Raw genomic sequence first — 14476 nt, forward strand, 5'->3', positions numbered from 1 at the left:
CATTAGCAATTTTAATTTCGCCCTGGTCCTGTGGTCCTGTGATCTCGCCCTGCCTCCATTTGCCTTGTGATATTCTATTACCTTGTAAAGCATGTGATCTCTGTGACCCACACCCTATTCGTACACTCCCTCCCCTTTGAAAATCACTAATAAAAACTTGCTGGTTTTGTGGGTTGTGGGGCATCACGGAACCTACTGACATGTGATGTCTCCCCCGGACACCCAGCTTTAAAATTTCTCTCTTTTGTACTCTGTCCCTTTATTTCTCTAAACGGCTGATGCTTAGTGAAAATAGAAAAGAACCTACATGACTGTCGGGGGCAGGTTCCCCAATACCCAGTCTCTGGGTGTTCCCTATAGCTCAAGACCTAACTCATTCTCCAGATAACTGCTCTTCTCATAGTTATAGTTCTTAGACCACGAAAAGCCCTTCGATAACTGCTTTTCAAGTTTCCACAAAGACCTCAGTAATTTTTTTTTTTGGCACATCTGCTAAGCACCTAATAAATGTTTCTTTCCAGGAAAATTCAGGGACACACAAAATTATAAACAATGGCATCCCAAAACTTGCTGAAATATCAGACCTACATTTCACAACTTTATTTTTCTGAAAATTAGTCTAGGTTCTACATAAGCAAGTTTGAAAATCTCTGTATCCTTGGAGATTCACGGTGCACTTTATCAAAGTGGAGACACTGAGCAGTACTGTAATTAAAAGGAATTGATGCCAGGTGCAGTGGCTCATGCCTATAATTCCAATACTTTGGGAGGCTGAGGCAGGAGGATCACTTGAGGCCAGAAGTTTGAGACCCACCTGGTCAACAGAATGAGACCCCATCTCCACAAAACTAAATTAAAATAATCAGCTAGGCATAGTGGAACACATCTGTAGTCCTAGCTACTTGGGTAGCTGAGGCAGGAACATCACTTGAGCCCAGGTGTTTGAGGCCAGCCTAGATGACAGAGCAAGACCATCTCTTAAGAAATGAAAAAAAAAAAAAAGCTGGTTTGGTTTAACTGACAAAACAAAAATTATCATAAAACAGAATACTTTTGAAACAAATTTCTGTGAAGATACAAGTGTTCTTCAGACCCAATTTGGAAAATGCCAACCTATAATATTTTAAGTGGAGATTAAATTAAATGGCTTCTTTAATCACAAAGATATTTACATCATATAGCAAATCTAGTTTTCACAATAACCATCACCATCCCCACCCTCTAACCCCCACACCAACTCAAATTTGTCCAGGTCTCCTGGTAAGTTTGGAATAAGAATATGGCAATTGCTTACCCGGATCCCCCTGAAAACTCACCTTCAGGTCAGTGAGTTCAGAATGCTGGCGTCTCCTAGTGCTTGTCTGGCCAGGACCCCCGAGTGCCGCCACCACCCCACAGCTACACTGTCCTGTCAGGCTCTTTGGTGGTAGGAGAAGAATAACACTCTGAAAAAGGGGTTCCAGCCTTTAACACAGCCTAGAATAGGCGCTCAGGGAAGACTCTAAGGGGAGGCATTGGATGCCTCACCTTTTCATGGGCTCTGATAACACTTTTTGAGTGCACATTCCCCAAGCCCAGCACTGTGTCTGCCACATAGTAGGTGATCAATAAATGAATAAATTGTACTTGGCGTATTGCAGGACTACATTCCATTTAGAGAATGTTTGCCTCTCATTTATGAAGTTGCCAAGAGGAAACACAATTTTTTTTAATTTCATGTGTCAAGTATCTATAAAGGGCCTGGTTCATGGACCTAAGAAGAGTGGGTGAATGAGTCAATCGTGTAAGGAGTGAATGACTTTGAGCTTTCTCATTGGCCCTTCCTACTGGGTGCCAGGAAGTGAGAATAGGGCCCTCAACCCTCTCTCAATTACCTTTAACCTCCCCATCCCACTGGGTTGCCTGGCCCCTACTTTTCTTCCTCCACCGTGATGTTTCATGCACTTCCTGCCCCACAGCCACGTTATCTGCTATTTAGCTCCTTTGCCTTAAGGAGGGAATGGGAAATGAGTAGCCTGAGGTGCAAGTGAACTACCTTAGCCACATTGGCTTGAGAAGATTAACACTGATGTGGGAAGCATGGCTTAGGATTCACTCCCTCTCACGCTCAGGTGTGAGTTGTTGACAGTACATTGAAAACTGACAATAGGGAGGAGCAGAGGAGAGGGCGCTCCCTCACAGCCAATAGCCCCATGGTCTTCTTCCTCTACATCAGGCCTTATGCCCCACTGCTATGGTTTGAATGTCTCCTCCGAAAGTCATGTTGAAACCTAACTCCCAACATGGCAGTATTGGGAGATGGGGCCTTTAAGAGGTGATTGAGTCATGTGGGCTCTGTCCTTGTGAATGGACTAATTTACTTATGGATTAATGAATTAATGGGTTAATGGATTAATGGGTTATCATGGGAGTGGCACTGAAGGGTTTATAAGAAGAGGAAGAGAGATCTGAGCTAGCACACTCAGCTCCCTCACCATGTGCTGCTTTGCACCTCCTCAAAACTCTCAGAGTCTCCACCAGCAAGAAGGCCCTCATCAGATGCAGCCCCTCAGTCTTGGACTTTTCAGCCTCCATAACTGTGACAAATAAATTATATAGCCCAGTTTTAGGTATTCTGTTATAAGCAACAGAAAACAGACTAAGACATCTACTTCTTCAGGCTTGCCTCTCATGTAAAGGATTCAGGCATCCTTCCAGGGCCTATTTGAATATACTCAGTTCACATATCTTCCCATTTGTCCCAGACTCATTGCAGGCAGTCTCTGGCCCAAAATAAATGGTATGTGTGTGGAGGAACTACGAAAGAGAACTCTTAAGGGAGTACCATTCTGGGACATTCAGTTTTCCACATTCAGGGATATCATCTTCAACAGCCAGCTAACAAGAGTTGAACCCACTATGGACCCCTTTTGCAGCTAAGGATTTTTGTTATTGTTGCTAAGAATTATTTTTAGGTACAATTTAGCAGTTAAGGATGCAATATTTCCTGCTTTGACAATTTAAAAGTGACCTCAATGGATTTCAGGGGGTGGGGAGTTACTTGTTTTTTGCCTGAAGCACGAATTTTTATGCCCCACCTAAGTTGGTGTGCAGGAGGGGGTCTTAGCCGTGAAGGAGTCTAGACACTCAAAATCTCAAGTTTTGTGGCTCTCCCTTAATATAAATGCATATGAATCTTTCCAGTACTCTGGAGGGCAGGTGTTTTTATCCCTGTTGTATAGGTAAGAAAAGGAGACGCATCCATGATGTTGGAAACTGGGGATATGGCTATCTCAGGAATATCCCTACTATACCATGGGTTTGAATCCAAATCCCCAGTGCCTCATTCCTCAGCTCTTCTCCTCCTCCCACCCATGACTCTCCTGAACTTCCTTTCATTTCTCTGTTCTCAGCAAGTAAAAGCTTCAAAGGCAGGTGGGGTACAGTAAGAAGGGGCACGAGTGAAAGGAGGAGTGTTCTGGGTGTCTCTCTTCATTCCCAGCAGCTCCGTTTCATCTGCTTTTCATGTACCCCTGATAGCAGATGTCCTTTAATATCCAGATAAGAGCAAACCAAACCCCTATTCTACAACCAAGGAGAAGTACAACCTGCTCCCCCGACCCTCACCAAGATTTTTTTTCAATTCCTTAGAGGCTTACCTTCTGGTAGTCATCTCTATCTCATACTTTGTTTTTACTACATCTGTCAATCTGAGTCATATGGCTTCTTTGTTCCTTTTGTTTTTTATCTTCTTCTTGGCATTGACCCAAACAAAGGACTTGACCGCTTTCTTGTTGATACCTGGTCTTAGTCTGTTTTGTGTTGCTATAACAGAATACCTGAGCCTGAGTAATTTGTGAGAAAAGAGGCTTATTTAGCTCACAGTTCTGCAGGCTAGGAAGTCCAGGGGCATGGCCCTGCCTTCTGGCAAGATTTTTCATGCTGCATCATAACATGGTGGAGAATTTCAAAGGGGAAGCAGACGTGTGAAGAGGGAAGACTGGAGGGGCATCTTGGCTTTATAATGACCTACTCTAGCAGGAAATAATCCATTCCTGCAAAAAATAATCCAGTCTTGTCAGAGAGCGAGCTCATTCACAACCACCAGAAGGGCACCAACCTATTCATAAGGGATCCAACCCCATGACCCAAACAGCTTCCACCAGGCTTCACTTTCCCAACACTGCCACACTGGGGAATCAAATTTCAGCATGCATTTTGGTGGGAATAAAAAAACCATAGCACTGCCCTTCCATATCTCACACATAAAGGAGATGTCTAGGCTATATTTTTTACTGTAGAATTGGGAATAATGGTAAGGAGTTTCCTGTGTACCTCACAGGACGTAATTTAAGAGAATTAGTCATAACTATTCATGACAAGCCTTGTTACTCAGCCTCTCCATCCTTCTTCCTCCCTTCTCTTTGCAACCCATCCCCACCATCAAATTCAAGTTTATTACTTACAAAAAGCCTTTAGCTGTTTCTTGGTTGCCTTCTCCCTGAAGGTGATTTAGCAAGGTATTTCCCTAAAATAAAGTGCTTTCCCTAAGGAGCTCTGGTCTCTGCTAGAGAGGTAAAGATCTTTCCCAGCCCAAAGGCATACCTACTCATTCATTCATTCAACAAATATTTATTGAGTGCCTGCTATGTGACAGACTCTGGGGATATAACAGTTAACAATGGGACAAAAACCCGTGTCATCATGGAGTTCACATTCTAGTGGAACTTTGCATAAATTTATTTTAAAAACAAAAATGTTTTTATACAATAAAAATTTGAAAGCTGATGTCTTAGAATATTTTTCAGAAAGCATTTAGAATTCTACTATTCCTGCCTAGTCTTCTTAAATAAATGGGGCACAGAGGGAAGAACTTGCCTTTGTTCTTTGGAATCCAGTTTCCTTTTTTATCTCCCTCCTTTTTAAAAGGACCATTTTCTTCTCTGTTCCCCAGGTTGTGCTAGCCTCCTGTCTCTTGCTTAATCCTCCCTGAAATACACAAAGCAGCACCATCCTCTTCACTCTATCTTACTCTCGCTTTAAGGTTATTGTCTCCAAGGAGTCCTTCCCATAAAGGGCTCCCATAGAGCCCTTTCTCCACTCACCCACCTCAGCACCCTCTCCTCTCCCATCTAAATTAATTCTCTTGCCCTATTTCGAAGATGTTGTCTGTGCTGGCTGGATGTGCTGCTTTGTAGATCATTAAACTGTCCCCCATATAATTTACAGATCCCTTCAATGATGCATGTCTGACTGTAGATGTCACCAACAGATGTCTGGGGAGTTACATCCTACCCAGAATATGCTCTCCTGCAGTTTCAAGAGTGAGACTGTGTGTCTTTATTCATCCTCTGCTGCTGGGCTAGTGGGTTTTGCCAGATATATGCTGCTGCTGCTTTCTTTTATGGAATTTCCTTTTTTATTTTTTCTGCTTATACTCAACAGATCATCTCTGAGAAATCACTTTACAAATGACTGAGATTATCAGCACACAGAAGGCTCTCTCACTCACAGCACTGCTAGGTGCAATAGACAAATGATATCAGACGTGTTTCTGCAACTAATTTTATTCCTGAAGCATCTTAGGAAAGAAAAGCTCAAGCAAGAGACTGACACAGATGTTGAATTTTTTTTTAAAGCATCTACAAGCAACACACACTATCCAAATATTTTGTTATTTTATTTTACTTGGACTCCGTTTTGTTATTAAAGAAAGGTTTGAATGAGTTTGCAAAATGCATATAATATATAAAGAGGAGCAAAAAAGGATAAAGAAATTCAACTAAAAAATAAAGAAAATTAGATTATCCATTTGTAAGGATATTGCAAAAATTTGTACTTAATCAGATTTGGTGCTATGCCACCTAATGGCCAAAGCAAAGAGGAAAACATGATCAGCCTGAGATGCTGCCCATCTGGAGGGGGAAAGGTTAAACTATTAGATCGCATTCACTTTTTCACAAGAACTTGGGGCTACTTCTCACATTTTGTGGTTTAGGGTCAGGAAGGATAATTATCCTGCAATGCTTCAGTCCTAAATAATTGTCCTGCCTGAAATGCCAATTATACACCTTTGAGAATGGCTGACTTGCATAATTCGTAGAGCCTAAAAGTTAAAAACTCAAGAATAAACCAGTAATTTGGGAGAAGCACCAGCACTAAAATTAGAAAATGAAGTCCTTTTTGAGACCGCCTAAAAGGGACTCAGTAGTATAGCAAACATCAAGATGCTCTAACAGATGTCAGAGGGAGATTTCTGTGATCATTCCTACCATCATCCAGAGAGAACTGCTGTTTTAGAGTCTCATAGTTCGACCCGTCCCTTAATGTGGCAGTTCATCCTGACAAGTATGTTTAGCTCAGCCTCCCTAATTTTTTATTCCAACTCCACAAATGTAAGCTGAGTACTAGGTAGTGTTCTAGACTCTACCCTGACACCCTGAAGGTTGGAAGATTAAACAAGACCCTATGCTTCTCTGAATGAGATGATTTTGTAATAAGGTCATCGTCTCCTCTAAAGCAAGTTGGAAAACTGAGAAACTAAAACTCCATATTCTGTAGTATAACTCTCATATAAACATACAAACCAGTCTTCAAGGTAAACCAATTGACTGATCAGGCAACTCAAAATAACAAAAAGAAGAAAAGCATAGCAGCCTAAAATTAATGGCATCTCTTGTTCCAGTCAAGGTTCCTTTGGTTGCCAGCTCTACAAATCTACTCTGGCTCCCTACAGCAAAAAAGAGGTTTATTAGGAGATTATCAGAGGCCCACTGAGAATGCATGGGAAGCTGAAGCCAATAGGAACAGCACTAGGGGATTCCCCAAGGAGCCCAGTGGTGATATCCTTAGGTGTTGCAAGTAAAGGTTAAGATCCCTCAGTGTGTTCTTTACTGGATCCTGATCCCAGGCTAGGATCCATTTGGCCAAGCCAAGCCTAGGTCACATGCCCACATCCTGGCTGCCAGGGTCTGGGAAGAAGAGGATCTACCGTCAGTGACTTCCACAGTGTGAGGCAGACGATGTGTCTAACCAATACCACACCCAACAGAGGATGTGGACAGCCCAAAACCATGATGCTTGTCCCTGATGGAGCACAGGACACACTGCCCCCAAAATATGGCTTCCTGGAAATTGAGAAGACAGCGTAAGCAGAAAGGTCACCCTCAGACACTGCCCCACCTTTTTGTGTGAAAGCTAGCCATAAAAGAATTTTCTGACCTGCTTCCCCTGAAAGTAAGTTATAAAACCCTCATGCAACAGATATCCTGCCTTATTCCCAGAGAAAAGAAACAAAGACACAGAGATGCCAAGAAGAATCTTAACAAAAAGCATCCAAAGTGATATGATTTGCCTCCATGTCCCCACCCAAATCTCATCTTGTAGCTCCCATTATTCCTACTTTTATGGGAGGAACCCTGTGGGAGATGATTGAATCATGGAGGCGAGTCTTTCCCATGCTGTTCTCATGATAGTGAATGGGTCTCATGAGATCTGGTGGTGTTAAAAACGAGAGTTTCTCTTCACAAGCTCTCTCTTTGCCTGCTGCCATCCACATAAGACGTGACTTGCTCCTCCTTGCCTTCCACCATGATTGTGAGGCCTCCCCAGCCACATGGAACTGTAAGTCCAATTAAAACCTCTTTCTTTTGTAAATTGCCCAGTCTCAGGTATGTCTTTATTAGCAGTGTGAAAATGGACTAATACACCAAGTTTCCCCAGTTCAATATTAAACCTTACCCCCATCTGTTCAATCATATTTCTACACAACTATCCATTCTCCATCAAACCTAAGCATAAAAAGGACAGTTTTACCCATTTCTTTGGGTCTTCATTTCTGAAGGTTCTCATGTTAGATACAATTTAAATAATTCTGTTAGGCTTTTCTCTTGTTAATCTTTCTTTTGTAATATGGGTATCAGTCATGAGCCTTGTGATGGATGAGAGAAAGATATGACTTTTTCTCCCCTCATCCCCAATACCTACTGATGTATGTCTCCACTCATTCAATCACCAGATGTGTGCTAGACACTGTTCTGAGCACTGAGGATATAAGAGGGAATAAGCCAAAGTTCCTTCTCTCCTGACACTTATATTCTAGTGTGTGGGTGGGTAGGAGGTAGACAATGAACAAATACATAGATAATGATGCCAGCTGTTGTGGCTTCAAGGACTATGGATATAGCCAAAACAGGGGAGGGGGACCAGGAGTGCTGGGGGCCTGCTCTTCTACATAGAGTGATTGTGGAGGAGATCATGTGGTTATGTGGGGGAAGAGGTGAGGAGCCAAGATTATGAAAGGCATTTTAGCTCGCATGAAGGACTTTGACTCTAATTCTAAATAAGATAAGAATTCTTTAGAGAGTTTTGATCAAAAAAGTGTCCTGATCCAATTAATATTTCACTTGGGTAATTTTGGCTGCTGGATTGAGAATTAACTTTTGAGGTGCAAGGGAAAAAGAGGAGGAACTATTGTCAAACTCAGGTCTCTCTACCAACTGCGATACTACACTGTGGAGTCAGAGAGTTCACAGGTAAAGGGAACCCTGGAAAGGCTCTAGTCTAACACTATGAAGAAACTCAGAGATGTGAAGGGAACACTGCAGCTCTGGGAGGGCTAGGCCTCCTGCCTTGTGCCTGGGCTATCTTCACTAATTTACAATGATGACAGAAGAAGCTTTGTCCCTCTTTGTCCCCCAAGGATAGTGGACCATGGCTTCCTCATCCACCGAGATCTCTTGGGGATGAAGAAACTCTGCCCTTGTCAGACCCCTCTCTGCACTGTGGGATGAGCATGCCACGGTGCAGAAGCTTGGGTGGTGGTACTAGACATCAGTCACTGTGCCTCTCCCAGCCACTGTCTAGCCGGAAGAGGTGACCCTTAGTGGCCGCCTTTTGTGATGCATGACTTTCTCCCTCAATCCCCACCTCAGTCAGACCCTAGATGACAGGATTAGGGGTGGACTCCTGATCCAAGGCAATATACCTGAGGCCTGGCCAGGGAGCTAAGATGATGCGACCCAGCAGGAAGAGATGAACACAGCCAGTAGGATTCCCCTTCTGGCATCTGAACTAAGACATAACAACAGCAAGAAGTTCTCAGCAGTGGGGCCTGAAGCTAAAAGTAAACATAGACATAGAGCTCAGTTAGGGGTTACGGCAAACAAGTGAGGAGAGAGAAGACCTGCAGAGAAAAGAAAAGAGGACTTGAAAATCACGGTACCAATGAAGGACACAGGAAATGGCTCACTCACACTAATGCCAGAGCACTTGCAAGAAAAATCACACACTCCTTCTGCTCAAATTCCTAGAGTTACCTTGCCCTGAGGCCTGGTGGTTCTATTTTTTTGTGAAAATGTGTATAGATACAGTGGCATCTGCTCCTAAATGTTTAGGCTTTAGAAATATCTACCTCTGCTCAGCTAGTCTGGCTTTCAGGCCACCAACAAGAAGATCACACCTAAGATAGTACCATACATTCCTCTTCTTAGACACCCACTCACCTCCCAGCTCTGATGAGGCCTTTTTCCTCATGTCTCTATATCCAGGGCAAGTTTGTAGACAATCTCATTTTACTCCAATGATATGTTGATTGAGATATAGCTATAGTGACTGACATCTTTGAAATTCTACGTGTGTATTCCTCCATTTTCATATGGCTATGAAGAAATGCCCAAGACTGGGTAATTATAAAGAAAAAGAGGTTTAATGAACTCACAATTTGATGCGGCTGGGGAGGCCTCACAATCATGGTGGAAAGTGAAGGAGGAGCAAAGGCACATCTTACATGGTGGCAGGGAAGACAGCACGTGTGAGGGAACTCCCCTTTACAAAACTCTCAGGTCTCGCGAGACTTATTCACTATCGTGAGAACAGCATGTGAAGAAAACCACCCCCATGATACAATTACCTCCTACCGGGTCCCTCCCATGACACGTGGGGATTATGGGAGCTACAATTCAAGGTAAGATTTGGGTGAGGACACAGCCAAACCATATCATTCTGCCCCTGGCCCCTCCCAAATATCATGTCCTCACATTTCAAAATCAATCACACCTTCCCAACAGTCCCCCAAAGTCTTAACTCATTTCAGCCTTAACTCAAAATGTCCAAAGTCTCATATGAGACAAGCTAAGTCGCTTCTGCCTATAGCCTGTAAAATAGAAAGCAAGTTAATTTCTTCCTAGATACAATGGGGATACAGGCTTTGGGTAAATGCAGCCATTCCAAATGGGAGAAATTGGCCAAAACAAAGGGGCTACAGGCCCCATGCAAGTCCAAAATCCAGCTGGGCAGGCAAATTAAAGCTCCAAAATGATCTCCTTTGACTCCATGTCTCGCATCTTGGTCACGCTGATGCAAGAGTTGGGTTCCCATGGTCTTGGGCAGCTCTGCCCCTGTGGCTTTGCAGGGTACAGCCCCACTCCTGGCTGCTTTCATGGGCTGGCATTGAGTGTCTGTGGCTTTTCCAGGTACATGGTGAAAGCTGTCAGTGGATCTACCATTCTGGGGTCTGGATGATGGTGTCCCTCTTCTCACTGCTCCACTGGGGAGTGCCCTAGTGGGGATTCTGTGTAGGGGCTCCCCCTTCACATTTCCCTTCCACACTGCCCTAACAGATGTTCTCCATGAGGGCTCTGCCCCTGCAGCACACCTCTGCCTAGACATCCAGGTATTTCCATACATCCTCTGAAATCTAGGCGGAGGTTCCCAAACCTCAGTGCTTGACTTCTGTATACCTGTGGGCCCAACACCATGTGTAAGCCACCAAAGTTTGGGGCTTGCACCCTCTGAAGCAATGGCCTGAGCTGTATGTTGGCCCCTTTTAGCCACTGCTGGGACACAGGGCACCAAATCCCAAGACTGCACAAAGCAGCAAGGCCTTGGACCTGGCCCATGAAACCATTTTTTCCTCCTAGGCCTCCTGGCTTGTGATGGGAAGGGCTGCCTTGAAGTTCACTGACATGCCCTAGACATGTTCCCCATTGTCTTGGCGATTAACATGTGGCTCCTCATTACCTTTGCAAATTTCTGCCGCCAGCTTGAATTTCTCCTCAGAAAATGGGGTTTTCCCATAAAAGCCCTAGAAGAAAACCTAGGCAATACCATTCAGGACATAGGCATGGACAAAGACTTCATGACTAAAACATCAAAAGCAATGGCAACAAAAGCCAAAATTGACAAATGGGATCTAATTAAATAAAGAGCTTCTGCACAGCAAAAGAAACTACCATCAGAGTGAACAGGCAACCTACAGAATGGGAGAAAATTTTTACAATCTACCCATCTGACAAAGGGCTAATATCCAGAATCTACAAAGAACTTAAACAAATTTACAAGAAGAAAATCAAACAACCCCATCAAAAAGTGGGCAAAGGATATGAACAGACACTTCTCAAAAGAAGACATTTAGGCAGCCGCAAGACACATGAAAAAATGTTCATCATCACTGGCCATCAGAGAAATGCAAATCAAAACCACAATGAGATACCATCTCACACCAGTTAGAATGGCAATCATTAAAAAGTCAGGAAACAACAGGTGCTGGAGAGGATGTGGAGAAATAGGAACACTTTTACACTATTGGTGGGACTGTGAACTAGTTCAGCCATTTTGGAAGACAGTGTGGCGATTCCTCAGGGATCTAGAACTAGAAATACCATTTGACCCAGCCATCCCATTACTGGTATATACCCGAAGGATTATAAAACATGCTGCTATGAAGACACATGCACACATATGTTTACTGCAGCACTGTTCACAATAGCAAAGACTTGGAACCAACCCGAATGTCCATCAATGATAGACTGGATTAAGAAAATATGGCACATATACACCATGCAATACTATGCAATCATAAAAAAGGATGAGTTCATGTCCTTTGTAGGAACATGGATGAAGCTGGAAACCATCATTCTGAGCAAACTACCACAAAGACAGAAAACCAAACTCTCCATGTTCTCACTCATAGGTGGGAATTGAACAATGAGAACACTTGGACACAGGGTGGGGAACATCACACGCCAGGGTCTGTCGTGGGGTTGGGGGAGGGGGAGGGATAGCATTAGGAGATATACCTAATGTAAATGACGAGTTAATGGGTGCAGCACACCAACATGGCACATGTATACATATGTAACAAACCGGCACACTGTGCACATGTACCCTAGAACTTAAAGTATAATAAAAAAATTAAAAATAAATAAAAAGAAAATGGGTTTTTCTTTTCTATCACATATCAGGCTGCAAAATTTTTGAACTCTTATGCTCTGCTTCCCTTTTAAATATAAGTTCCAACTCCAGACCAAATCTTTGTGAATCAATAAAACTGAATGCTTTTATGAACAACCAAGACACATCTTGAATGCTTTGCTTCTTAGAAATTTCTTCTATCAGATACCCTAAATCACCTCTCAAGTTCAAAGTTCCACAGGTCTCTAGGGCAGGGTCAATATGCCACTAGTCTCTTTGCTAAAGCACAACAAGAGTCACTTTTGCTCCAGTTCCCAACATGTTCCTCATCTCCATCTGAGACCACCTCAGCCTGGACTTTATTTTCCATATCACTATCAGCATTTTGGTCAAAGCCACTCAACAAGTCTCTAGGAAGTTCCAGACTTTCCCACATCGTCCTGTCTTCGGAGCCCTCCAAGTCTTTAGGAAGTTTAGACTTTCTCACATTTTCCTATCTTCTGAGCCCTCTAAACTGCTCCAACCTTTACCTGCCCAGTTCCAAAGTCACTTTCACATTTTCACATATCTTTACAACAGTACCCAACTCTACTAGCACCAATTTATTGTATTAGTCCATTCTCACACTGCTAATAAAGACATACCCTAGACTGGGTTATTTATAAAGGAAAGAGGTTTAATTGACTCACAGTTCCACAAGGATTAGGAGGCCTCAAGGCACTTACAATCATGGCAGAAGGGGAAGCAAACATGTCCTTCTTCATATGGCAGCAGGAAGGAGAAGAATGAGAGCAAAATGGGGAAAAGCTGCTTATAAAACCATCAGATCTCATGATACTTATTCACTATCATGAGAACAACATGAAAAAAAACCTATCCCCATGATTTGATTTTCTCCAACTAGGTCCCTCCCATGACACATGGGGATTATGGGAACTACAATTTAAGATGAGATTTGGATGGGGACACAGCCAAATCATATAAGCATATATTGTTTATTTAAAACCGGCCAGACATGGTGGCTCATGCCTGTAATCCCAGCACTTTGGGAGGCTGAGGCAGGTGGATCACCTGAGGTCAGGAGTTCAAGACCAGCTTGTCCAACATGGTGAAACCCCATCTCTACTAAAAACACAAAAATTAGCTGGGCATGGTGGCGGATGCCTGTAATCCCAGCTACTCAGAAGGCTGAGGCAGGAGAATCACTTCAGCCCAGGAGGCGGAGGATGCAGAGAGCTGAGATCACGCCATTGCACTCCAGCCCGAGCAACAAGAGTGAAACTCTGTCTTAAAAAATAAACAAAAAATAAAAATAAAGGCTATTTTTTAAAAAGCTATGTTGATGATATTGCAAGTCCATCAACAATGTCTAACCAAGAGGTCTGGACAGCTCTTCTGCTGGACTAATAGTTTACTTGACTTGCAGAATTAAATGCCAAGGGATCATACATTCTTACTGTCTTGTGTAAAGCATAATTAGGAAGATAAGATTACATGTTAAGGGGTAGAAAAATTTTTCCTTGGGTTACTGAACTGATCATTTCACCTCCACCATTAAAACAAGTGTTCCTTCCGGTGGTTTGCATGGCTGGTCATAAGCAGGTCTCCAGGTCTCAGGGACACACTCTCATTGTTATCGATGATGTAGATCTTCTAAGCTGAGTATTTATAAAATTTGTCAGTAAAACCACTGAGGATCAGGACTTTGAGATTCAGCTTACTGAATGGTCCCATCTTTAAAATTCTCACATAAGTGCCCCTGCCAAACAAATGAAGGATTCTAAGCAGCAGGGTCTGGCGGGAAAAATAGGCTATTGCCTATGGCAGAGGCATTGTCTTAGTTTGGGTTCCTAAGAAGCAGAGTCTGAGATGGGGATTCTTGAAAAAGTAGTTTATTAGGGGAGTGGGCTTGGGAGAAAGGGAGCAAAAAAGCTGAATGGGGCTCCGAAGAAAGTTAAACGAAGATGTGGCTCAGGTGGCTCCAGTGTGATCCCACAGGGAGCCCTGGAATACAAATTACACCACAGAGGTGGTCCTATCTTCAGGCAAGGTACCATTTTTTTGTACCCCTTGTTAGTCATTGGCCTTCAGAGGGAGGTGAGGAGATGGGTATATAACCTCTAGATTGAAGCAGCTTCCATCTGACTAGAGGCAATTCTCTGCAGAAGAGGGCGCCATGAGCTATTAGCAGCCAATACAGCCCTAGATCACAGGAGGCACCAGCCTGGTAAGGGAGGTCTGGGCTGGGCACCTCAGAAGTTGCCCTGAATGATTGTGCAAGAATCAGTGGTGACCATTGTTACTA

The 14476-nt window shown here is 43.3% G+C and overlaps 1 protein-coding gene across 1 annotated transcript in view, besides 1 other annotated feature; it reads right to left on the reverse strand.

Moving 5' to 3' along the window:
• Nucleotides 1-14476, reverse strand: part of SLC24A2 (solute carrier family 24 member 2) — an 800438-nt gene that overhangs the window by 758616 nt on the left and 27346 nt on the right. The gene's annotated exons all lie outside the window — the stretch shown is intronic.
• Nucleotides 10438-11637: an enhancer, noted in NCBI's record as "MED14-independent group 3 enhancer chr9:20276506-20277705 (GRCh37/hg19 assembly coordinates)". NCBI's record gives its function as "activates an origin of replication core promoter dependent on BRD2, BRD4, P300/CBP and CDK7 cofactors, and independent of MED14, by STARR-seq in HCT116 cells {active_cell/tissue: HCT116}" and the evidence as "EXISTENCE:reporter gene assay evidence [ECO:0000049][PMID:35650434]".

Source organism: Homo sapiens, chromosome 9 (genome assembly GCF_000001405.40).
Source record: "Homo sapiens chromosome 9, GRCh38.p14 Primary Assembly".
Taxonomy (NCBI): Eukaryota; Metazoa; Chordata; class Mammalia; order Primates; family Hominidae; genus Homo; species Homo sapiens.